The sequence below is a fragment of the Homo sapiens genome, chromosome 12, assembly GCF_000001405.40.
Source record: "Homo sapiens chromosome 12, GRCh38.p14 Primary Assembly".
Lineage (NCBI taxonomy): Eukaryota > Metazoa > Chordata > Mammalia > Primates > Hominidae > Homo > Homo sapiens.
In genome coordinates, this window is record NC_000012.12 from 123,902,900 (window position 1) to 123,926,998 (window position 24,099).

At 50.3% G+C, this 24,099-nt stretch overlaps 1 protein-coding gene and 1 long non-coding RNA gene across 12 annotated transcripts in view, besides 3 other annotated features; one reads left to right on the forward strand and one right to left on the reverse strand.

The window, feature by feature from the left end:
* Positions 1-24,099, forward strand: part of DNAH10 (dynein axonemal heavy chain 10) — a 173,420-nt gene that overhangs the window by 140,599 nt on the left and 8,722 nt on the right. For all 11 annotated transcript variants that reach the window (NM_001372106.1, XM_017018960.2, XM_011538016.3 and 8 more), the window contains 13 exons: positions 40-214; positions 6,362-6,543; positions 7,637-7,773; positions 10,199-10,416; positions 11,430-11,651; positions 11,953-12,100; positions 13,558-13,837; positions 14,685-14,914; positions 15,777-16,050; positions 20,864-20,968; positions 21,379-21,533; positions 22,151-22,305; positions 23,738-23,921. In NM_001372106.1, coding sequence (NP_001359035.1) covers positions 40-214; positions 6,362-6,543; positions 7,637-7,773; positions 10,199-10,416; positions 11,430-11,651; positions 11,953-12,100; positions 13,558-13,837; positions 14,685-14,914; positions 15,777-16,050; positions 20,864-20,968; positions 21,379-21,533; positions 22,151-22,305; positions 23,738-23,921 — 2,465 coding nt within the window. The remainder of the gene's footprint in view (positions 1-39; positions 215-6,361; positions 6,544-7,636; positions 7,774-10,198; positions 10,417-11,429; positions 11,652-11,952; positions 12,101-13,557; positions 13,838-14,684; positions 14,915-15,776; positions 16,051-20,863; positions 20,969-21,378; positions 21,534-22,150; positions 22,306-23,737; positions 23,922-24,099) is intronic.
* Positions 4,943-5,237: an enhancer, noted in NCBI's record as "tiled region #5794; HepG2 Activating non-DNase unmatched - State 4:PromP". NCBI's record gives its function as "activates a minimal TATA promoter and a strong SV40 promoter by Sharpr-MPRA in HepG2 cells {active_cell/tissue: HepG2}" and the evidence as "EXISTENCE:reporter gene assay evidence [ECO:0000049][PMID:27701403]".
* Positions 14,209-14,710: an enhancer, noted in NCBI's record as "H3K4me1 hESC enhancer chr12:124401655-124402156 (GRCh37/hg19 assembly coordinates)". NCBI's record gives its function as "activates a minimal SCP1, AML or CMV promoter by ChIP-STARR-seq in naive H9 embryonic stem cells {active_cell/tissue: H9 hESC(naive)}" and the evidence as "EXISTENCE:reporter gene assay evidence [ECO:0000049][PMID:30033119]".
* Positions 14,882-16,081: an enhancer, noted in NCBI's record as "CDK7 strongly-dependent group 2 enhancer chr12:124402328-124403527 (GRCh37/hg19 assembly coordinates)". NCBI's record gives its function as "activates an origin of replication core promoter dependent on BRD2, BRD4, P300/CBP, MED14 and CDK7 cofactors, with strong dependence on CDK7, by STARR-seq in HCT116 cells {active_cell/tissue: HCT116}" and the evidence as "EXISTENCE:reporter gene assay evidence [ECO:0000049][PMID:35650434]".
* On the reverse strand, positions 19,699-22,118 carry LOC124903043 (uncharacterized). Its single transcript, XR_007063505.1, has 2 exons — positions 21,883-22,118; positions 19,699-21,389 (listed from the first exon to the last, which is right to left on the reverse strand). It is a non-coding gene; the product is annotated as an uncharacterized LOC124903043 (long non-coding RNA).

The following is a 24,099-nucleotide window of genomic DNA, read 5'->3' on the forward strand; positions in this document are numbered from 1 at the left end:
TGAGCCCAAGCTTTACTCACCCCCTGTCCTACCCTGCAGCCGAGGAGAAGAAGAAACTGGCAGAGGAAAAGGCCATGGAGATAGAGGAGCAGAACAAAGTCATTGCCATGGAGAAGGCCGAGGCCGAGACGACCCTGGCAGAGGTCATGCCCATCCTGGAGGCCGCCAAGCTGGAACTGCAGAAGCTGGACAAGTCGGACGTGACTGAGATTAGGTAATGCACCTGAGCCACCATTCTGGGCTTCCATTCCACCTCTGCAAGCCAGTAGTCTCCATGATCGTGGCAACCAGGAGCTTACAAAGGAGCCGATGCCACATGCTGCCACTGTGCCTGGCTCTCTCCATGGTGGAGACTGTTGTTGCCCTCATTTTCGGATGGGGAAAATGAGGCCCAGGGAGATGAGGTGGGCGCCCCAGGCATCCAGATCCCCCAGCTAGTAGGAAGCAGGGCCTGCTGACCTTGAACCCAGGCCAAGGGAAGGATGGAGTGGGGTAAAACAGTGCTCTTCACGGAACATGCGGGGGCAAGTGTCCGCCCTAAGCAGGGGCAGGATGCTCACCATGGGGCTGAGCCCTGCTGAAAACAGCTCTGCAGAGATGTGTGCACACCACGGCCGGACTGGCGATGCCTGAATCCATTTCCAGCCAAGGAAGCTTTCAAGGAGGGTGAGAGTAGGTCACTATTGAGGCCCCCATACATCTTGCAAATCAATCTGTAAGATGACCCTGTCCCCCACACCAGAGGGCTCATCTGCTGTCAGCGAGGGTAACGTGGTGTGGCGTGGGCTAACAAGCTTTCTCCTCGCATGGCTTGGCCTCCCCAGGGCACTGTTCCTGGGCTCTGATGGTCAGTTGAGTCTTGTGAGTAAAGCCCTGGGAGGGAACACTGTCCTGGTGCCAGCCTCCGCCCACTGCCTCTGCCCCTGTGCTGCCTGGCCCCGCACAGACCCCTCGGCGTGGGAGCCTCAGCTCTCTCCTTCCCCACTCTTCATCCAGAAGGAGATCAGTCTTCCTGGCCCCACACACGGGTCTCGCAGCCGAGAGGCTCCGTTCCTGGGTCAGTAATGGGCTTCCATTCTGGGCTCCCGCTGGAGCGGTGCATGTTCCCTGTGCTTCCTATTTCTCTGCCTCTGTGCTGCCTGTGAAGGCTGAGCAGCGCTCCTTGTCCAAGTCCGTGCCCTTGTTTTCTTATTGGTGAAACATTTGTGAATTTGAGCATGGAATTCAGCTCACTCCAGGACAGAATGACCTCCCGGTTCATTCTTGGGAGGTCACTTGGAGGTGCTGCTGTGGTCAGCAAGAAGTCATTAGTTCAGTGTTGAGGATGGTGTCAAGGAGGGTATAAGGATCGATGTATTAAAACTTCAGCACTAGGCGTTGGAAGTTTAGGCTGAGGTACCAGGACACAGTGGAAGTGCACACCCAGCGGAGGGGTAGGAGACACGGTCAGCACACACATCCTCCAGGGAAATTTCTAGCTACCGGTGATAGGATTTGGGCCACTGCTCCCAGGTCAGCAGCATAAAAACATCGTGAAAGCAGAGACTAGGAAGGATTTTTGAAGGGGATTTATTTGAAGAGAAGGAACGGTGAGTCCCTTCCATCAATCCAAGGTGGAGGAGTGGGGGGGAGCTTCCATGGGGCCAAATAGAGGGCGTGGCATGTGTCCCCTGCAGTGAGACAGGCATTGCAGACAGGTGCCCCGCTCACCCCTGAGAAAGCCTAAGTACAAAAGGAATAATTTTTACACATTCATACATGGCTCTGCCTCTTTGCTGTGTGACGTTTAGCAAGTCATCTAACCTCTCTTTGCTCCAGTTTCTTCATTTGTAAAATGTGGATAAGAATTGTCTCGGCTGCATCAGGGTCTTCATGAGGATCATATGAGCCTATATGTGAAGAACTGGGCTGGGCACATGGTCAGAGCCATGTAAGCATTAGCTGTGATTATGGCTCCAGCATCCAAAAGGTATGCTGGGAAAAGCCCACGGCCACTGTGTCCTCTATCAGCTGTGGTCACCTTCCCACACTGCAACAGGTAGTATGGGTATATCATTTCTCATATACACTTCCTGAGGATTTTCATGCATGACCAAGGCAACCAGGTACACAAGGGTCTCTTCTCTTCCTGACTTCAGGTTCTGAGGGTTTGGAGAGCAGGGGATGCCTGCAAATCCTTTTTTCCTTCTTTTATATACAAATTATAACACCCTATGCATATCTTTCTGCATCTTTTCTGCTTAGCAGTATATTTTGGAGAGCTTTTGCATGTTGATGTATGATGAACTTCCCCGATATTTTAGAACATTCCTTCACATTCCATTGTGTGGCTGTGCCGTAATTTATTTAACAAGGCCTTACTGATGAGTTTGTTAAATAAATTGATTGTGTCTCCAGTCTTTTGCCTTTACAAACAGCGTGGCAAAGAATAAATCTGACCATAGTTCATTGTGCACGTGGGCGAGTCCACCTGCAGGATACATTTCTGGAAGTGGAATTGCTGGGTCCCAGGGTGTAGGCATTTATAGTGTTCATAGCTGTTGCCTAATCCCCGCCGTGGGGATGGAACCTATTTATCCTCACCAACAATCCAAACGAGTAGTACCTGCTTTTTCCTAGACTTACCAACAGGGGGCGCGATCACATGTTGGGATTTTTGCATATTTTGTAGATGAGTGGTACTTGTGTAGTTTTAATTTGCATTTCTCTTAGTGTGAGTGAAGCTGGCCTTTTTTTTTTTTCCTATGAGAAAAGTGTGTCTAAGAGTTATGTGTATTTCCTTTTCTGTGAACTTGGTTTGCGTATCTATTGGGTCGTGGTTATTGTTGCTTTTTATTTCAAAACCATTTCCAGGGGCTTTTTATATAATGGGGAGCTCAGCTTTTTATCCATAAGGTGAGTTGCAAATCTTTTCCTGGTTTGTCATGGGCTATTTGACTTTGTTTATGAGGTTTATGTGTGTGTTTGTTTTTGCCATCTATGTTTATTTTTATGTGGCAGGTTTTAGCAATATTTTATTTTGTGGCTTTTTTTTTTGAGACAGAGTCTTGCTCAGTCACCCAGGCTGGAGTGCAGTGGCACGATCTCGGCTCACTGCAACCTCCGCCTCCCGGGTTCACGCCATTCTCCTGCCTCAGCCTCCTGAGTAGCTCCAGCCTCCTGAGTACCTCCAGACGCCCGCCACGACGCCTGGCTAATTTTTTTTTGTATTTTTAGTGGAGATGGGGTTTCACCATGTTAGCCAGGATGGTCTCGATCTCCTGACCTTGTGATCCACCCGCCTCGGCCTCCCAAAGTGCTGGGATTACAGGAGTGAGCCACTGCGCCCGGCCTTTGTGGCTTTTTTTAAATTTATTTTTTGAGACAGAGTCTCATTCTGTCACCTAGGCTGGAGTGCAGTGGCGCGATCTCGGCTCACTGCAACCCCTGCCTTCCAGGTTCAAACGATTCTCCTGCCTCAGCCTCACAAGTAGCTGGGGTTATAGACACCCACCACCATGCCCGGCTAATGTTTGTATTTTTAGTAGAGATGGGCTTTCACCATGTTGGCCAAGCTGGTCTCAAACTCCTGACCTCAGGTGATCCACCCACCTCAGCCTCCCAAAGTGTTGGGATTACAGGCATGAGCCACCGCACCCGACCTATTTTGTGGCTTTTGGATATTGTGTCCTAGTTAAAAGGCCTGATCACACTGCAAGATTGTAAAATAATTTCCCCATGATTTCTTTTGGTACTCTTATGTTTTAATTTTTTATATTTAAATCTTTTATCTATTGAGGATTTTTTTCCTGGGGTTCTGTGTGAGTTTGGATCCAATTTGAGTTTTTCCAGATGAGTAAAATCTGGCTTTTCTCAGGTCATTTGGATGTTAAGCGCAATGAGCCGGCACTTACATCTTGACAATTTTATAATCTTTTAAGTCCTTAAAAAGCGCTTCCTTCTTATCATACTCAATCCTCTTTGTAGAAATCATTAAATGTTAAGGCAGGAAGATGAAGAGTCATGAAGATTAGAAGTAGATGTTTCTCTAACTATAAAACTATAAAAGCCTCCCTTTGTTGCTGGCTCTTGAGTTTCACTTTTCTTCCTTTCATTCATTCAGTAGTCAGTGGGTGTCTGTCCCCCACCCCACCCCTGCCCTGAGCAGGCACTGGGGCCCATCAGCAGTGAGGCAGGCAGGGTCTTCACTGCGTGGCGCTGACACTCTGTTTTCCTATAGGAATCCCATGTGCATGGGGAAATTATGTAGGATTAGGTTAGGAAGGAAAGGTCCTTGCTGCTCTGACAGTGGATGTTGGGACCTGACCTAGTCATGGTCATGGAGGGCGGAGGGGGCACCTTCTCTGAGATTGCAAGGAGCTCGGCTGGAGAAAAAGCAGAGACAGCTGGTGTGTCAGGGGTAGAGTACTGGGAGGTGGGGAGTGGGGTTTATAAGGATTATTTTCCTCTAGGGAGGGTAGCATATCATTCTCCCTTTCTCATTCCTGAGTTTGTTTTGTGATAGAAGAAAGGAATCAAATTAAACAGACATCTCCCTTTCTCTTGACTTGCACCCTCCACATTTCACACACCTTGGTCATCCGGCATTGTGGAAAGTGGTATGTTCTGGATAAGTGAGATCCCAGAGCGTGGCCTGCAACCCAACAGCAGAAAACGTCACTTTGGTAGACTCAGAGGATTTGGGAACTGGAAGGTTCCAGTTCTGCGTCTCTACTTCACAGATGGGGAAACTGACGCCCTGGCTGGTTCCTAACTTGCCCAAGGGCTCAGGACCCCGCCGCAGGCCTGGGCTCCTTCTGTCTTGAATCTGAAAACATCTGCCCCATTCTTTCCCCACCTGCTTGTTCACAGAGCGGTGGCCGGGGCCTGGTTTCCATCCACCCTGAAGGGACCTTTTAAAGACACTTGACAGCCCCGCCGCTTTCCTAAGCAGCCAACACCAGCGTGATCGAGCCTTTTCCCGGGGACTCAGGGCCTTTCTTTCATCACTGGGCTTTGTGCTGAAGTGTGGGCGCCCTCCCTCCTGGCTGTTGCCCTGGCTTGTCCGTACACTATGGGGCCTTCTCTCCTCTGCTGTCTGTGTGGGAGTGTGTGAGGGTTCCGGGGTCAGGAGGGGTGGGGGATTTGCTCACTGCAGAAAGCCTCCAGGTTGCTGTCTGCTCAGGCTGTCTCCTCCCTGTCTCTCTGTCTCCTCCCTGTCTCCCTGTCTCCTCCCTGTCTCTCTGTCTCCTCCCTGTCTCTCTGTCTCCTCCCTGTCTCCCTGTCTCCTCCCTGTCTCTCTGTCTCCTCCCTGTCTCTCTGTCCCCTCCCTGTCTCCTCCCTGTCTTCCTGTCTCCTCCCTGTCTCTCTGTCTCCTCCCTGTCTCCCTGTCTCTGTTCTTGTGCATGTGTCTCCCCCTCTGTCCCTCCATCCCCCTCTTTCTTCTCTGGCTCACCCCAGCCTCCTACCAGAGCACAAATGCCTGGGCCCCTGCCTGGCCGCCCCCACACTGCATCCATGCCCTCCGGGACCTCTGTCTCCTGCTCTTCTCTCCTGCTTTTCCTTCCTCTCCTGCTTTGCCTTGTCTGTGCTGTTCTCTTCCACTTCTGTCTTTCCATGGCGTGGTCTGGGAGACTCCTGTGGCTTTCACTGACCTTGCCTGGCAGTGGGATGCCCCGGTGAGATGGGTTCGGTTCCTTCTCTGGCCTTTGTACCAGCGCTGCTGTTCTGTCTCCTGTTCCGTTGGCAGTTCTGGTTCTCCAGAGGAACAAGGGCAGTGGACATCTGCGTTCTGGAGGAGCAGAGTGATGATCTAGTCTTATCAAAGCCACAGAACACAATTACGGGGCAACATAGCCTGGAAAGAGCCCAGGATGCGGGGACCCCAGGCTTCCCAGGCGGTGTCAGCACAGCCAGTCATGCAAGCTCCCAGGACCCTGTTTGTCCATCTAGTAAATGGGGAGAGATAATGGTTGGTGGTGATGGTGATGGTGATGATGATGATGATAATGACAATAATGACGGCAGCCACCATTTAGAGTCTGAGGAATCAGCCGAGGGTGTAATTAAAACATAGGTGCTCAGGCTGCCCCCTAACCACTGATCCAGACGCTCCGGGGACGGCCTGGGTTTGTATTTTAATGCTGCCCCCGCACCATTCCAGGCGCCTGGTCTGGAACCTGAGAGGGGGACCCGGCCCTGCCCTTAGGGACGCTCCCGCCCAGGAGTGCGGTTTGTGTTGGGACCTGGCTTCTTTCGTTTGCTTGCAGCAGTAGCTCCAGGGACTGTCTTTTGGTTGAGCTCGTTTTTCTGGAGCTCTCTTTCAGGCCAGATCCTGGCCACATCCCGGGGTTGTGACCCACGTGCCTTGGTTTCTTGCCAGGTCGTTTGCTAAGCCCCCGAAGCAGGTGCAGACGGTCTGCGAATGCATCCTCATCATGAAAGGGTACAAAGAGCTGAACTGGAAAACAGCCAAGGGCGTGATGTCCGACCCGAATTTCCTGCGGTCTCTGATGGAGATTGATTTTGATTCGATTACCCAGAGCCAAGTGAAAAACATCAAAGGTGAGTGTAGCCACGTGTGGGAATCGCCAGGGTGGATCTCGGTCTGGCATCTCAGGCTCTGGGACAGGGATGGAGGGCAAGGAGGCTTGTCGTGGGCAGGCCCTCCCCTTCTGGTCAGATGGTATCGGATGGAACAGGCAACTGATGGTCACCAGAGGAAAACAGCAGCCCCATGACGTGACCCAGGGAGAGTGGCTGGGGATGCGCGGCGGCAGCCGTGCCCACTGAGGGTTCGATTCGGCACTAGTCCTAGCTCTCCGTGTCAGGAAACAGGATCTTCTCATTGGAACCTAGCCCAGCCTTGTCTTCTGTGCATCTCACCCAGTGCTGTTCAGTGCACATGCAGAAGCCCAGAGCTAGTCTGACCTTGACTTCCCCCCTTTCTCCTCTTGTCAGTGTCAAGTCTTCTGGAGGTCCCTGGGGAGTGGGCATGGGGGTGGGCAGCATCACTGATGGCCAGCCTCTCCTCCATCTTTGGTTATAGGACTGAGTTCCCCTTGAGCTCAGTTCCTGACCCTGCCCAGTGCTCAGCCAGGCGGTGATAGTGTAATGGTGTTAGTCTTTGCGAAAAGCAATACAAGTTAACGCTGTGTTTGATGGTTTATTTAGACTCTTATCAAATGCTTTTTCTTAGCCCCTTAAAAACAAAAGCAATCTCAACACAAATGACCCCAACCACTACAAAAACCCAAGGCACTCCCTCTGTCTGAATCTTCATTGGATGGACTTCCGTTTATGTGAAATTACTCCTGGGGTGAGGGTGCGGGTGAAGGTAACAGGTGACCTGTAGTGGCCTGTGAATTCCAGTTAGCCACCTGGGTGCCCAGTTGGGAGTCTCCGTTACGCCCTGGGTCTCCTGTGTGACACCTGCGTCCTGGGTGGCAGTAAACCATGTCCCTTGCCCACATCTGAAACATCCGTTTATGCAGAACCCATCTTGGTTTGACACCACGCTGTTGGCCGTAGGAGAGCTTTGTGCATTCTGCTCACAGGGCCACTGAAGAATAAGAAACTAGTTATGCTTATTTTGTCTATTTTATGCTCCCAAGATGAAGCTTGCCACTCATAAAAATTATTGCATGTTTCACGTTAGGCCTCTTGAAGACTCTTAATACCACAACTGAAGAAATGGAAGCTGTCAGCAAAGCCGGGCTGGGGATGCTGAAATTTGTTGAAGCTGTAATGGGCTACTGTGATGTTTTCAGAGAAATCAAGCCCAAAAGAGAGAAGGTATTGCCCGAATGTAAGACTGCCACACCACTGCCAAGGGACCCATTCAGAGTCAGAATTCACATGTACATACCTTTGCTGAAAAACTTCTCCCGAGGTTCTGACTTCAAGCTGCATAAACTTTCCCTCCACCACCCAATAAATGGCAATCCTGAAACACCACTATCACTTAGGCATAGTGTGGGTGGTGGACAAGACCGAGGTCTGAAAGAGTTTCAAACTTCCTGTGAAAGTGTAGTATAAAGATGTTCAGACCAGGCGTGGTAGCTCATGCCTGTAATCCAGCACTTTGGAAGGCCCAGATGGGAGGATCACTTGAGCCCAGGAGTTTGAAACCAGCTTGGGCAACATAGTGAGACCCTGTCTCTACAAAAAAAAAGTTTTTTAATTAGCCGAGCATGGTGGCACACACCTGTACTGCCAGCTACTTGGGAGGCTGCAGTGAGCTGTGATTGTACCACTGCACTCCAGCCTAGGTGACAGAGTGAGACCCTGTCTCAAAAAAAAAAAAATGACGTAAAGATGTTTAAAGTTGTTTCTCTAGGGTCAAAGCAGAGTTTCTCAGCTGCAGCTGAATGTGGCCTGGTGGTGGTGGGGGGTCTGTCCTGGGGGATCTGTCCTGGGGGGTCTGTCCTGGGGGGGGTCTGTCCTGGGGGGTCTGTCCTGGGGGGGGTCTGTCCTGGGGGGTCTGTCCTGGGTGGGTCTGTCCTGGGGGAGTCTGTCCTGGGGGGGTCTGTCCTGGGGGGTCTGTCCCGGGGGGGGTCTGTCCTGGGGGGGTCTGTCCCGGGGGGGGTCTTTCCCGGGGGGGATCTGTCCTGGGGGAGTCTGTCCTAGGGGGGTCTGTCCTGGGGGGTCTGTCCTGGGGGGACTGTCCTGGGAGGGGTCTGTCCTGGGGGGGTCTGTCCTGGGGGGGGTCTGTCCTGGGGGGGGGTCTGTCCTGGGGGGTCTGTCCTGGGGGGGGTCTGTCCTGGGGGGTCTGTCCTGGGGGGGGTCTGTCCTGGGGGGGGGTCTGTCCTGGGGGGTCTGTCCTGGGGGGGGTCTGTCCTGGGGGGTCTGTCCTGGGGGGGGGTCTGTCCTGGGGGGTCTGTGCTGGGGGGTCTGTCCTGGGGGGGGGTCTGTCCTGGGGGGTCTGTCCTGGGGGGGGGTCTGTCCTGGGGGGTCTGTCCTGGGGGCATCTGTCCTGGGCGGTGTCTGTCCTTGGGGGGGGTCTGTCCCGGGGGGACTGTCCCGGGGGGTCTGTCCCGGGGGGTCTGTCCTGGGGGGGGTCTGTCCTGGGGGGTCTGTCCTGGGGGATCTGTCCCGGGGGGTCTGTCCTGGGGGGGGGTCTGTCCTGGGGGGGTCTGTCCTGGGGGGTCTGTCCTGGGGGGGTCTGTCCTGGGGGGGTCTGTCCTGGGGGGGGGTCTGTCCTGGGGGGTCTGTCCTGGGGGGGGGTCTGTCCTGGGGGGGTCTGTCCCGGGGGGGTCTGTCCTGGGGGGGGTCTGTCCTGGGGGGGGTCTGTCCTGGGGGGTCTGTCCTGGGGGGGGTCTGTCCTGGGTGGGTCTGTCCTGGGTGGGTCTGTCCTGGGGGAGTCTGTCCTGGGGCGGTCTGTCCTGGGGGGGGTCTGTCCCGGGGGGGTCTGTCCTGGGGGGGGTCTGTCCTGGGGGGTCTGTCCTGGGTGGGTCTGTCCTGGGGGAGTCTGTCCTGGGGGGGTCTGTCCTGGGGGGTCTGTCCCGGGGGGGTCTGTCCTGGGGGGGGTCTGTCCCGGGGGGGGTCTTTCCCGCAGGGGGTCTGTCCTGGGGGGTCTGTCCTGGGGGGTCTGTCCTGGGGGGGGGTCTGTCCTGGGGGGGTCTGTCCTGGGCACTATAGGATGTTTAGCAGCATCTTCAGCCTCACCCCACTGGATGCCAGCAGCACCCTCCCTCCAAGCTGTGACATCCAGAAATGTCTCCAGACAGTACCAAACGTCCCCTGGGGGACAAAACCTACCGCAGTTGAGAGCAGCGGGGCCAAAGTCACATGAAGATCACAAAATACAAAGAGAATAAGGTTAATTTGATCATTTTGAGTCATATTGTGACCTTGCGCTATAGCTCGGAATTGTATTATTCAGAAAGCTTGGAACCAATAGAAATACTGTTACTGTCTATGGTATATTCTTCTGAGTTTTTGACTTAGAACCACAGTGTCATCTTACGGAGACCTCAGTACATGAAAGTAAAACCATTTGATAACTTGGGTGCTGTGTCTTCTAATGGGACATGGAGTTTTTGCAGCAAACAGTCGAAGAAGAAACTAAGAAGCCACGTGTCTCAACATAGCATATAGAGGCTCTGAAAAGCACAGACACCATTAGAGCAGTTTAGACATGTGGCCTGGTTTGAGGCCATGGGATCGCGGCCCCACCACGGTCCTTTTCCCCATCTTTTTGCAAATTGTCTTCACTTAGGTGGCCAGGCTGGAGCGGAATTTTTACCTCACTAAACGGGAACTGGAAAGGATCCAGAATGAGTTGGCAGCAATTCAGAAAGAGCTGGAAACATTGGGTGCCAAATATGAGGCCGCCATACTGGAAAAGCAGAAGCTGCAGGAAGAAGCCGAGATCATGGAGAGGCGGCTGATTGCCGCAGACAAACTCATCTCGGGTCTGGGGTCAGAAAACATCAGGTTAGCGCTGCTCACGAGCCCACCTGTTGCGGTTTGTAAACGGACGTCACCCACAGAGTTTCTCGCCATGTTGATTCTTTATCTCACGTTGTGTTTTTATGTGAAAACCATGTGACCAGGTCTTATGTTCCTATTATCATGTTTATGGCAGCTAATGGCTATTTTATAGGCTCTTGTTTGTATTAGGCACTGAGTGTTATTTATTAATTACTAAGGGTCAAGGAGGCAGTGCAGCTGTGGAGACGGGGGAATCCATACCATTTAGCAGGGTGCTCTAGGTTTGGGAAGTGTTCACTTCTTGGTGACCTCTAACCCCTGGGTCTTTTCTAGAAGAGTCTGTGGGAGAAGCCCATCTCTGTCACCGCACAGATGCCTTCTAAGGGTCCCAGTGGCTTGTTCAATCCTGGGCTTCAGTCTTAAGTGATGGGGCTGTTTGATATTTATGGGCAAGACCGCTTGGCCACAGCTTATTCACCAAATAGGGCAACAATTTTGAATCTAGCATCTGTAAGTGTGGTGTAGAAAACACTGAAAAATGTTGTTTGCGTGTGGGAAACAATTTTCAGTATTTCTTAAACCTAAGTCTTGGGGCATTTACTGAAAGAGGACAAATGAAACAGACGCTTTCTTTTATCTTGGGTGGAATTCTGTCATTGAGTGAGGCCAGAACTTGTTAGCTCTGCCGGGCTGATTTATATGTCTTTGATTAAGGCTTCAGAAACAACGTGATTACTACTTAATATGATCCACGCAATGTGATTACTGCTTAATAAAGACCACAGGCCTTTACTGAGCCCCCTGCTTGATGCTGGCTCCAAATACCAGGTTCACTAGGGTGGGAAGTTGCAAGATAAGCTGTTGGTCTCTGTTCCTCACAAGGAAAGAATATCTCAAAACATGTTTCCATCTGGCTAGCCCTGTTAGCAAGGTATCAAGCTGGTTCTTCTGGAATGTTCCTTTTGGTTGTGGCCAGAAGGTAAACTCACGGCAGCCTCCCTCTCCTCCCGTGCCAGGTGGCTGAACGACCTGGATGAGCTGATGCACCGGCGCGTGAAGCTGCTGGGGGACTGCCTGCTCTGCGCGGCTTTCCTCAGCTACGAGGGAGCCTTCACCTGGGAGTTCCGTGACGAGATGGTCAATCGGATTTGGCAAAATGACATCCTGGAGCGGGAGATCCCCCTGAGCCAGCCTTTCCGGCTGGAAAGCCTGCTCACGGATGATGTTGAGATCAGCAGGTGTGTGGCACCCTGAGCCAGCAGGAGGGAGGGGACACCTTAGCACAGGGGGTCTACGTGGGTGTCACCCTGGGGGGAGGCAATGGCCTGGGGGGCATCACCAGGACCACAGTTGGCTCGACTGCATGGAAGTGGCCGGGCAAGCTGCAAACCCAGCACGGAGCCCTTCTCCCTGGCCTCTGAGGAGGCTTGTGTGGCCTGGGGATGGGTAGATTGTTCTGGAAGGCCAGTCCTACCACCCTTAGCCCTTGGCTCACAAATTGGTGAGAAAAATTCATTTCCCAATGGCTGTTTCTTCCAGATGGGGATCCCAGGGCCTTCCCCCCGATGAGCTCTCCGTTCAGAATGGCATCCTCACCACCCGGGCCAGCCGCTTCCCTCTGTGTATCGACCCCCAGCAGCAGGCCCTCAACTGGATCAAGAGAAAAGAGGAGAAGAACAATCTGCGGGTATGGTGGCTCCTCCCAGGGCGTCTTCTGCCCCCTATTCCTGTTCTCTGGAGAATGCCCCTCCCGCCTCCTGTACGTGGCAGTCCCTAGCCTCAGCGAGGCTGGGCTGAAATGCTTCCATCCTGACCCCCATGCGGAGCCCTCCCCCGGCTCCGCCTCCGCCTCCACCCCGTGGGTCTGCCAGGGCAGCTCAAACCGCCATGAACTCTGCCTCTCCCCTCGCAGGCTGTGAGCAACCTTAGCTTCGTGTTCCTCTGTCCAGTACGGGGTTCGTGGTCTGGGTGCTCAGTCACTATTTTTTGGAGCTGAGGTGGGGGATGGGGATGCAGGGGAGGAGAGGGGAGAGTAATGGCTTGATTGAGATGTAATTCACATACCACACCTTTCCCCCACTGAAAACATACAATTCAGTTTGAGTTTTAGTATATTTACAGAGTTGTATACCAATCACCAGAGTCAGTCTTAGAACATTTTTATTATCCCTGGAAGAAATGCTACATCCTTTAGCCATCACCCCTCCAGTCCTTCCGTTTCTCCCTCCCCGAGCCCCTGGCAGCCACTCATCTGCTTTCCGTCTGTGAATGTGCCTCCTCTGGACATTTCTTAGGAATGGACTCAGACGCTGTGTGGCCTTTTGTGTCTGGCGCCTTTCACTCAGCCTGATGTTTTCAAGGTCCGTCCTTGCTGTAGTGCATCAGGGCGTCATTCCTTCCTTGGGCTGAATGATATTCCGGTGTATGAACAGACACATTGTGTTCATCCATCCATTTGCTGAGGGACAGTTGGGTTGTCCTACTTTTTGGCTGTTTGAAGAATGCCGCTGTGAATGTTGGTGCACACGTTTCTATGTGGCCATGTGTTTTCAGTTCTCTTGGGGCGATACCTAGGAATGGAATTGCCGGGGCGGCCCAATCACTTTTTGCTGAGCTAATGAACAAATTAATTATTTTCAATTTAGCTTTTCCTCATTTTTTTCTGGTCCTTGATCTCAGGTATTTGCCTGCTGTTAGAGGAAGCCCATTTGTACTCCAAGGTCAGGGGAACAGTCTGCCTCCAAAATGCACATGGAGCTATCAGGGAGCAAATACTATGAGGGCAGGAACTTTTCTAGACTCCCTCTTCCCTCAGCCTGCCAGGGAGCACTGAAATTGTCAGCCTACCCCTAGTCCAATTCCAACATCTACCCTCTCTCTTAAAGAGGAGGGGTTCTAGCTTACGGGAGAGGGGCTGAGGAATCCCCTTCCTTTCCTCTCTACCCTGTTTGAGCAAGATCCTGCCCTGAGCCTGGACCTCATGGTGTATATGCGTTATACCCCTTGCTTCTCTCTTCTTTTCACCTCTGGCCCCCTCCAAGTTCCTGGCCCATCCACTTCCCACTTCCAAGCCATTCTCCCCTTATATTTGGCAGGGCCACAGTTAAACGTGGGCTTTCAGCATCTGCCTCCCTTCTCTTCCAGGTCGCTTCCTTTAATGACCCTGACTTCCTCAAGCAGCTAGAGATGTCCATAAAGTACGGGACCCCTTTCCTGTTCCGCGATGTTGATGAATACATCGATCCTGTGATTGACAACGTCTTAGAAAAAAATATAAAAGTCTCCCAAGGACGGCAGTTTATTATCCTGGGAGACAAGGAAGTGGACTATGATTCAAATTTCAGACTGTACCTGAACACCAAGCTGGCCAATCCCAGATATTCCCCATCCGTGTTTGGGAAAGCTATGGTGATCAATTACACTGGTAAGAATGTGTAGAACCTCCACTGCTAATTCAGATGGTTATGAGGGAGACCGCAACCTCAGATCAAGGCATTCATGGGACATCATTTCACTCAGTGACCCCAGATCATTCTCTCATAGGCACATCTGGACTAGTCAGCTCTTACCAATTAGGTACCACTTAGAAGGTGTGAGGCCATGAGTCACCTGTCATGAGTCACGCTGAGACGGGGCCGTGGGCTTATGTGTTCACACATGGGGTGGGATGGGACCTCTGACTGTGGGGGCAGGAAGTTACTCTATATTCGTGTATTTAAAATACATGTTGTGATGTTGAATTTTTTTTTTCTTCCTCTCAGTTGAATTCTGATAGAAATGGGATGTTATCTCTTACATTCTCTAGGGCTGTCATGCTCCTGCTTAAATAGGCTAATTTGATTTGGATGTACTTTCTTTTCTTTTTTCTTTTTCTTTTTTTGTACAGATGGGGTTTGTCTGTGTTGTCTGGGCTCAAACTTCTGGGCTCAAGTGATCCTCCTGCCTCTGCCTCCCAAAGTGCTGGGATTACAGGCATGAGCCACTGCGCCCAGTCTGGGTATACTTTAAACTATGGCACCCCAGTCCGTGGAAGCCTGGGTTTTATTTCAGTGTGTTTTTTCCTTTTTATCTGCCACTCTGCACCACAGCATCGCTGTTTTGCTCCTGCCTGCCACCTTGCTGCTCTAGAGTGACTTTGGTGGGCAGTGAATCCTCGTGCCTCTGGCCTGCTGGCTGAGACCCGCGCTAAGCTTGTCCCGTCACAGCAGGGCAGCGGGAGAGACTGTTGTTGGGGGCCGCAGGTGGTGAGGGCCTCTCACTGTCCCCCACAGTCACGCTGAAGGGCCTGGAGGACCAGCTGCTGAGCGTGCTGGTGGCTTACGAGAGGCGGGAGCTGGAGGAGCAGCGGGAGCACCTCATCCAGGAGACCAGCGAGAACAAGAACCTGCTCAAGGACCTGGAAGATTCCCTCCTTCGGGAGCTGGCCACGTCCACGGGGAACATGCTGGACAATGTGGACCTGGTGCACACCCTGGAGGAGACCAAATCCAAGGCAACAGAGGTAGCAACCACAGTGGAAGAGGCCGTGAGTCAGGCGGGGCCTGCATGCGCCGTTGGAGCGTCCATTTCTCTGTCTGCTCAATGAGAAAATGGGGCTCTGTGATCTCAGGGCTAAAAACCCACCTCTATTGGGATGTGCTGTGGGGAGGGGAGCCCTAAAGGTGTTCCCAGGGACCCTTGGGCATCAGGTCAGTCTCTTTAAATCGAGAGTGATAGAAAATCCAGCCCTGCCTGGCTTAAGTCAAAAGGGAAGTTATCAGCTGAGAAAGCAGAAAAGTTCAGAGATGGCCTCAGGTGGGGCTGGATCCAGGACTTCAAAAATACCAGGAGGACCTGGTTTCTGTCCATTTCTGGGCTGGGCCTTCTACTGGGTTGGCGTCATTCTCTGCCAGCTCCCCACATGGTCATAAGACTGGTCTGGCCTCACGTCCTCTCGGGTCCAAACCCAAAGGGGTAAGTGAGAATCTTCCTGTTCCTACCGTGAAGGTCCTGAGAGTCACTTAGGTCACGTTTCTACCCCAAAGCAGCCCTGGGAGCTTGGGGATGCTAGGCTCAGGTTAGCTGGCCCTGGGTCACATCTCCTGGAGTCGGGGTGGAACCCCATATGGGAAGAAAAGGGAGAGGGCAGTACCGGAGACTTACAAGCAGTGTTACTAGGGGAAGGGGCCATGGGTGCAGGGGCGTCAGCCACAAATATTCACCCCTTCCTACAAGAGGGTGGGTGCCCTCGCTCCCCTGCAGTCCCTGGATACTTTCAAAGCCCTGAAGCATTGTACATACCTCTCTGCTGTCCCCCTGCCCCTCCTGCCCTCTGCCCACATCTCAGTCTTCCTGTTTCCAGGGTCACCTGTGCTTTTCTTCAGGTCTCAGAGAAACTCAAGCTGGCGGAGAAGACAGCCTTGGACATCGACAGGCTGCGGGATGGCTACCGGCCAGCAGCCAGGAGGGGGGCCATCCTGTTCTTCGTCCTGTCTGAGATGGCCCTGGTGAACTCCATGTACCAGTACTCCCTGATTGCCTTCTTAGAGGTCTTCAGGCTGTCACTGAAGAAGTCGCTGCCTGATTCCATCCTCATGAAACGCCTGAGGAACATCATGGACACGCTGACCTTCAGCATCTATAACCACGGCTGCACAGGTGAGCTCTCCCCACAGAGGAGGACATGTTAGTGTAGTTTGGTGTGCCAGACGTGGCTTTAAGGAAACGTGATCTGTGAAAATGGAAAGTTACCAAATAGCATTTTTTCTTTTTTCTTTCTTTCTTTCTTTTTCTTTTTTTTTTGAGATAGGGTCTTGCTCCATCACCCAGGCTGGAATGCAGTGGTGCGATCACGGCTCACTGCAACCTCCACCTCCCAGGCTCAGGTGATCCTCCTACCTCAGCCTCCAGAGTAGCTGGGACTAAAGGCACGCCACCACACCCAGCTAAGTTTTTGTATATTTTGTAGAGATGGGGTTTCACTATGTTGCCCAGGCTGGTCTCGAACTCCTGAGCTCAAACGATCCACCCACCTTGGCCTCCTGAAGTGCTGGGATTACGAGGTGTGAGCCATCATGCCCAGCTCCGAATGGCATTCTTGAGTCTGGCGATTCATGTTACAAGAGGAATGTTTAAAGCACTGAATTTTAAGATAGCAGCTTTATTGAGACACAATTTACATACCATAAATTCGTCCTTTAAAAATATACCATTCGGTGGTGATTCATAGCATATACATAGAGTTGTGCAGCTATCACTACTCTCTGGCTCCGGAACGTTTCCACCAGCCCCGAAATGAAATCCCATACCCATTAGCAGTCACCCCCTGGCCCCCCACTCCTAGTCCCTGGCAGTCACCGCTCTGCCTTCCATCTGTAAGGATTTACTTGCTCTGAACACTTCATGTCAATGGCATCATACGGTGTGTGACTTCATGACTGGTATCTTTCACTCCACTCCGTGACCTCACGGTTCATCCGTGTTGCTGCGTGTGTCAGCGCTTCATTCCTGCCTGTGGCTGAGTCACATTCCATGTATGGACAGACCGCACTGTGTTTATCCACCCGTCACCTGATGGGCATTTGGGTTGTTTCGCTTGTTTTGCTATTAAGGCAATGCTCCTGTGAACATTTGTGTGCAGGTTTTTGTGTGAATGTGTGTTTTTAATTCTCTTGGGGGTATATCTAGAAAGGGAACTGCTGGGTCATAGGGTAATTCTATGTCTAACTTTTGAGGAACTGCCAAACTGTTTTCCAAAGTGACTACAGTATATTTAAACCCCTAAATCATTGATTTTTTCAAAAGACTTTTTATTATGGAAAACATATGCAAAAGAGAATAGTGTCGTGATCGTCTGCACAGCCCTCACCTGGCAATGATTAGCTCTGGATTTGTTTATATGTAACACGGTTCCCCATCAACCCAGATTATGTTGAAAATTTGCTTCATATTCAGATCACTTATCTGTAAGTATGTTAGTTTGTATCTCTAAAACAGAGGTCAGCAAACTTTTTCTGGAAAGGGTCAGATAGTAAGTGTTTTAGGCTTTGAAGGCTAAGTGATTTCTGCCACAACTACTCACTTCTGCAGTTGTGTGCCACAGGCCCCACTGGGCATGGTGGCAATTGTAGCACAAAAGCAGCCATTGGATGATATGGAAGTGAATGGCCATGGCTGTGTTCCAATAAAACTTTTTTAGCAAAAACAGGCAGCAGGCTGGATTTGGCCCCTTGCTTGTGGTTTGCCCATCCCTGCTATAAAATAGAAGGATTCTATCTCAAAACATAGACATAAGGCCATTATCATATCCCCAAATTAATAATTCCTGAATATCATCATATTCAGGTTTTCAAATGTTCCCAATTGTCTTATATGTCATGTTTCACATTATTTTAAATCAGGACCTCATTAAGGTCTATACATTATAATTGGTTGTGTCACTTAATTTCTCTCTTTTCCCCCTTGCATTTATTTTTATTTTTGTTTGTTTATTTTTGGAGACAGGGTCTGGCTCTGATGCCCAGGCTAGGGTGCAATGGCACAATCACAGCTTACTGCAACCTCCACCTCCCAGGCTCAAGTGATCCTCTCACTTCAGCCTCCTCAGTAGCTGGGACTACAGGTGCATGCCACCATGCCTGGCTAATTTTTAAAAAAAATTTGTAGAGATGGTGGTCTCGCCATGTTGCCCAGGCTGATCTTGAACTCCTGGGCTTAAGGGATCCTCCTGCCTCGGCCTCCCAAAGTGCTGGGATTAGAAGCATAAGCCACCGTGTCTGCCCCACCCCTTGCATTTATCTGTGGAAGAAACCTACCTGATTGCTGGGTTGTTTCCCGTCGTCTGAATTTTGTGCTCGCCTCTCTGTAGTGTGTCATTGGAGGAACTCTCAAATGCCAATACATGTAGTTCTTTTCTCATGAGACTTTAGGATTCCCCAGTGAAGAGTCTTCAGCCTTTTCCTAGAGTATGTAATCCTGGCTGCCAGCCTTCGTGGAACCAAGTGAGAAAAGAAGGCTGTCGATTTCAGCATTCGTCGTGAAAACGTTCACTGAAAGCCATATTTTCAGTACGGTTTACCCTCAACTATGCCTGGTGTTCCCCCGTCCAGAGACCCTGCTTTATCTTTTCCAAAGTTCACTTGGGTGGGGCAGGCAGTTGCCTGGCAGCATGGAGTGAGAGGGGATCTGGGATCTGACGGCTTGTCAAACAAGCTGTCCACCCATCTTCCTGTTTTTAGCCCATATTCACCCACACTTCCAAAGGATCTGGTACTGCCAGTTCCTGAGCTTTTGATGTGTTCTGTGGTTTGCATCTCAGCTTTATCTCCTCCTCATGTGAGAGTCAACTTTCTCAGCTCTGCTAAATCAGTTATCACTTGTCCATCTGTCTGTAGCTTGCAGTTTTTTTTTTTTTTTTTTTTTTTTTTTTTTTTTTTTTTTTGAGACAGAATGTCACTCTGTTGCCCAGGCTGGAGTGCAGTGGTGCGATCTTAGCTCACTGCAACCTTCGCCTCCTGGGTTCAAGTGATTCTCCTGCCTCAGCCTCCCAAGTAGCTGGGATTACAGGCACCTACCACCACACTCAGCTAATTTTTAGTATTTTTAGTAGAGACAGGGTTTTGCCATGTTGGCCAGGCTGGTCTCGAACTCTTGATCTCAAGTGATCTGCCCACCCCGGCCTCCCAAAGTGCTAGGATTACAGATGTGAGCCACCACACCTGGCCTAGCTTGCAAAATTTTATTGCTATTGTCTTTTCTCCAATTTTCTGGGAGCTTATACCTTTTTAAAAAACTAACCATTAGGCCAGGCGCGGTGGCTCACTCCTGTAATCCCAGCACTTTGGGCCGCCAGGGCGGGCGGATCATGAGGTCAAGAGATGGAGACCATCCTGGCCAACCTGGTGAAACCCCGTCTCTACTAAAAATACAAAAATTAGCTGGGCGTGTTGGCAGGCACCTGTAGTCCCAGCTACTGGGGGGGAGGCTGAGGCAGGAGAATGGCTTGAACCCGGGAGGCGGAGGTTGCAGTGAGCCGAGATCGCGCCACTGCACAAAAACAACAAACAAACAAAAAAACTCACCATTTCAGTTGGTTTTTGAAAAGGAGTTGGGATAAACTCAGAATGGCCATTTTTAACCAGGGGCCTGTAGAGTGACCTTTAGGAAGCAGAGGGTGGGTAGGACACACTCGTGTCCCTTTCCAGTCCTCTTCTGCTGAGACACTGTACTGACAGTGATATTTTCCATGCACCAGCGTTTGGTGTATTAGTTTGCCATGCCTGCCATAACAAAATACCACCGACTGGGTGGCTTAAGCAACAGAAATTTATTTTCTCATAGTTTTGGAGGTCAGAAGTCCAAAATCAAGGTTTTGGTAGGTTTCGTTTCTCCTTAGGATGCTCCCCTTGGCTTGTAGGAGGCTGTCTTCCTGCTCTGTCCACACAAGGTCTTTCTTCTCTGCGTGTGAATCCCTGGTGTCTCTGTGTGTCCAAATTTCCTCCTCTTATAAGGACACCAGTGAGGTTGGACTGGGCCCACCTTAATGGCCTCATTTGAACTTAATCACCTATTTAAAGACCCTGTCTCCAAATACTGTCATATTCTCAGGTACTGGAAGTTGGGGCTTCAACATAGGAAGTTTGGAGAAATATAATTTAGCCCTTAACAGTTGGGCAGAAAAGAGATTGTTTCTATAGGGCTCACTTAAGTAGCCAACCCTCCTAACACATATAAAGTAGAATTCAAATTACAAATTTTGACTTAAACAATTTTTTTTTCCAGGAACACATGTCTTCTGTTAAAAAGCAAAAAAGAAGAACGCTGGTATTTTGCATCCATTAATAAAGAGTCTGTTGATGGAGTGTGTGTCCTCTGCAATAGAGGTTGGCAACCCCCTAGCCAGCATCCAAATCTGGCCCACTGCCTGCTTTTGTAAATAAAGTTTTATTGGAACAGGGCCATATCCATTTGTATACATATTGTCTATGGTTGCTTTTGCACTACAATGGCGGAGTTGAGTGGTTATGACAGAGACCATCTAGCTTCCAAAGCCAAAAATATTTACTATCTGGCCCTTTGTAGAAAGTTTGCCAACACCTCTTCTAGACTCTAATGGACACAAATGCCATGGAGTCAGGCAAACAACCTGCCTTCAGTGGAGAGGGCTGCCCCTGCTGTACTGCCCCTCACTGGCTTTTCCTCTTCCCAGGTTGGTGTGATTTTACCTCCTGTAGACATGGCCATTTCCGTTACATACAGGAGCATGTCACTACAGACTGGGGCATGACCTAGGAACTGAGCTCATCTCTCTTGAACTTAGATATTCATGGACATTAGGTGCAAAGAGGGGTAAATGCAGCCATACAGTTCGAGTGTTTCATTTATCTTACGTTTAAGCACAGTGTGCATAAGAAACTCAGTTTTTTAAAAATGAATTTTAAGAAATCAATACTCATCTGATGTTTCCCTCCAGGGCTGTTTGAGAGGCACAAGCTACTCTTTTCTTTTAATATGACCATCAAGATAGAACAAGCAGAAGGGAGAGTCCCTCAAGAAGAACTAGATTTCTTTTTAAAAGGTAATGAATTTGCCTAGCTTCATTCCTCCCATCTCCTTGCCCACATGATACATGTATATAAGTTTGTCTGTTGAAACAAACAATAACAAAAATTCTCCTTAAAACTTGGCTTCCAACAGCACTGCATTTTTCACTATTCCAGTTGATCATTCCAGCCTCAGAAATGGCTCTGGTTGAAATCGGAGCAGCCAGCCTCTGTCTCGGGGCCATCCTGAGGCTGGAAGCTGGATGCTGCACTGAGCGCCTGGTTGGTGTCACTGGCGGTGACGAGGGCAAGCCTGGGCCACTTCCTGTTTCCAGTCTCCTTCTTGAAAAGTGGACTTTTCCCAAAAGTGGGAGAAGTCGAAGCAGAGTTGCTTGCTTTGTGTTAGTGGTACAATGGCTGCTTGCTTCTCTTCTGTTGTGATTAGGAAACATTTCCCTGGAGAAAAGCAAAAGAAAAAAGCCCTGCGCTTGGTTGTCTGACCAAGGATGGGAAGATATCATTCTTTTATCAGAAATGTTTTCAGACAACTTTGGGCAACTTCCTGATGATGTTGAGAATAATCAGACTGTCTGGCAGGAGGTGAGCCCACGTTCCCTTTCTCCTCCTCTCCTTCCCCACATGTCAACAATCTCCAAACCTCAACTGTGGCCCAACCCCTTAAGAGAAGACACTCCTTTGAGTAACCCATTCAGTGTGTAACTGATGCCCTGTAACTCCCTGATTGGAATTCTCCTTTGGCTAATTCAGCTAGTTGTATGGGAGATCCAACCATCTACCTGTCCGTCCGTCCATCCATCCATCCACCTACCCACCCACCCATCCATCCATTTACCCACCGACCCATTCATCTACCCATCTGCCCACCCACCCATCTACTCATCCATCCATCCATCCATCCATGCACCCACTCATCCATCCACCTACACACCCGTCCATCCAAGAAATAGTTGTTGGGCATCTGCCATGTACCATGTCCCTTGATGGGCACTGGGGACTCAGTGAATAAGACTCAGTTGCTCCTTTCTCAATGTCATAGCCTTTGGGGGTAGAGAATGACAGATCTGACCAGGTGGCCTTCAGTTAGTACACCTATGGATTCTCGTCCCTTTCCAGTGGCTTTTGCCACCTTCACACATAAATGGGGACCTATGTCATTTCTGAGTTGACGCACAATGAATATTCTTTGCTTTTCCCAGTGGTATGACCTGGATTCACTGGAGCAGTTTCCCGTCCCCTTGGGTTACGATAACAACATCACCCCTTTCCAGAAGTTGCTTATTTTGCGCTGTTTCCGTGTGGATCGGGTCTATCGGGCCGTGACTGACTATGTGACTGTAACAATGGGAGAGAAGTAAGTGTGTCGTTTTGTTGATTTGCCACTTTCCGTGGGGTGGAATCTCTAGCGTCCTCCCACCTTGGACTCAAAGAAAGCAGAGGCTGACCAGCTCCCGAGACAGCTGTCGCCACCCTGCTGTACAATATTCGATAGCCGATATTCTAGAATTCTTCAATATTCTAGAACAGTGCTAGTCATAAGAAATTCAGTGTGAGCCACATATGCAGTTTCGAAAGTTCTAGTAGCTACATTAGAAAAGAAATGGGCGCAATTAATTGTAATAACATTTTATTTAAATGAATATATTAAAATTATCATTTGAATGTATAATCAATATGAACATGATTGAGACATTTTACATGCTTTTTTCTGGTATTAAGTCTACAAAATCCTGTGTGAATTCACACTTACAGCACATCTCAATTGGGGCTAGCCACATTTTAAGTGCTGTGCCTCACGGCCATCGCACTGGACAATGTAGCTCTAGCATGGGGTACGAAGCCAGGCGGAGCGTGTGGGGCTGCAGCTCAGATGTGCCCTTGTAGCCAGCAGGCCATGGCAGTGAGTGATGAGGCTGGGTGGGGTCCTGGTCCCTGGGCAGCTGCCCTTAGCTCCTGCTGACTGATACCAGGTGCCATTGGGAACCCACAGTGGCTGGATCCTCTGACTCTGAAAGAAGCTAGGACTTCAGATTTTTTCCTGAAATATCCCAATATCTTTGTGTTTGCAATGAATTTTAAAACGCACATCTGGGTCAGGTGCGGTGGCTCACACCTGTAATCCCAGCACTTCAGGAAGCTGATGTGGGAGGATCGCTTGAGGCCAGGAGTTCGAGACCCAGCCTGGGCAACATAGTGAGATACTGCCTCTAAAAAATAAAAAATAAAAAAGAATTAGCCAGGCGTGGTGGTGCACACCTGTAGTCAAGCTACTAAGGAAGCTGAGGTGGGAGGATTGCTTGAGCCCAAGAGTTTGAGGCTGCAGTGAGCTGTGATAGTACCACTGTACTCCAGCCTGGGCAACAGAGTGAGATTATATATTTCAATTTAAAAAAAAAAAAAAAAAAGAAAAAGAAAAAACCCACACACAAAACACAAAACTCAAAACTCAAGATGTGGACCATTCAGGACACGCCTGTGGAACCTCAGGGTTTTGTGCCATGGGCAGGCCCACCTAGAGGGCAAGCTGAGGTGCCCAGCTCAGCACAAACCAACTGAATCGAGTGTGAGGGGGTACAGAGAAGTCCCTGCCACTCAGGAGTTCCCCATCAGGGTGGGAGACGTGCATAGAAACTAGAATCTAAAACAGGGAAGACTGCAACGAGCTATCCCAGAGGAGTGGTCAGAAGGTTCTGGACACCGGAGGAGGCAGCGCTGATCAGACAGACCAGCCCCTGGTCTGGAGCTGTCCTCGCGGGAGAGTTTTCTGACTGTGTTTCTTTCACCAGGTATGTGCAGCCCCCAATGATCAGCTTTGAAGCTATTTTTGAGCAGAGCACTCCACATTCGCCCATTGTGTTTATCCTGAGTCCTGGCTCCGACCCTGCCACTGATCTTATGAAATTAGCAGAGCGAAGTGGTTTTGGAGGAAATCGCCTCAAATTCCTTGCAATGGGTCAAGGTCAAGAAAAGGTAATTTGTGGCTGAAAGGAACAAGCTCTACGTTTAGGGGAGGTCCCTGGTGTCTGCTAAGAAGGAGCTAACCTGGGTTTAAGCTGAGTGCCACGCCACAAATCAGTTGGATGCATTTCCGAGCTAAGAAGCAGTAATGAAACACTGGGAAGATGACAATAATAGTTATGATTTCACA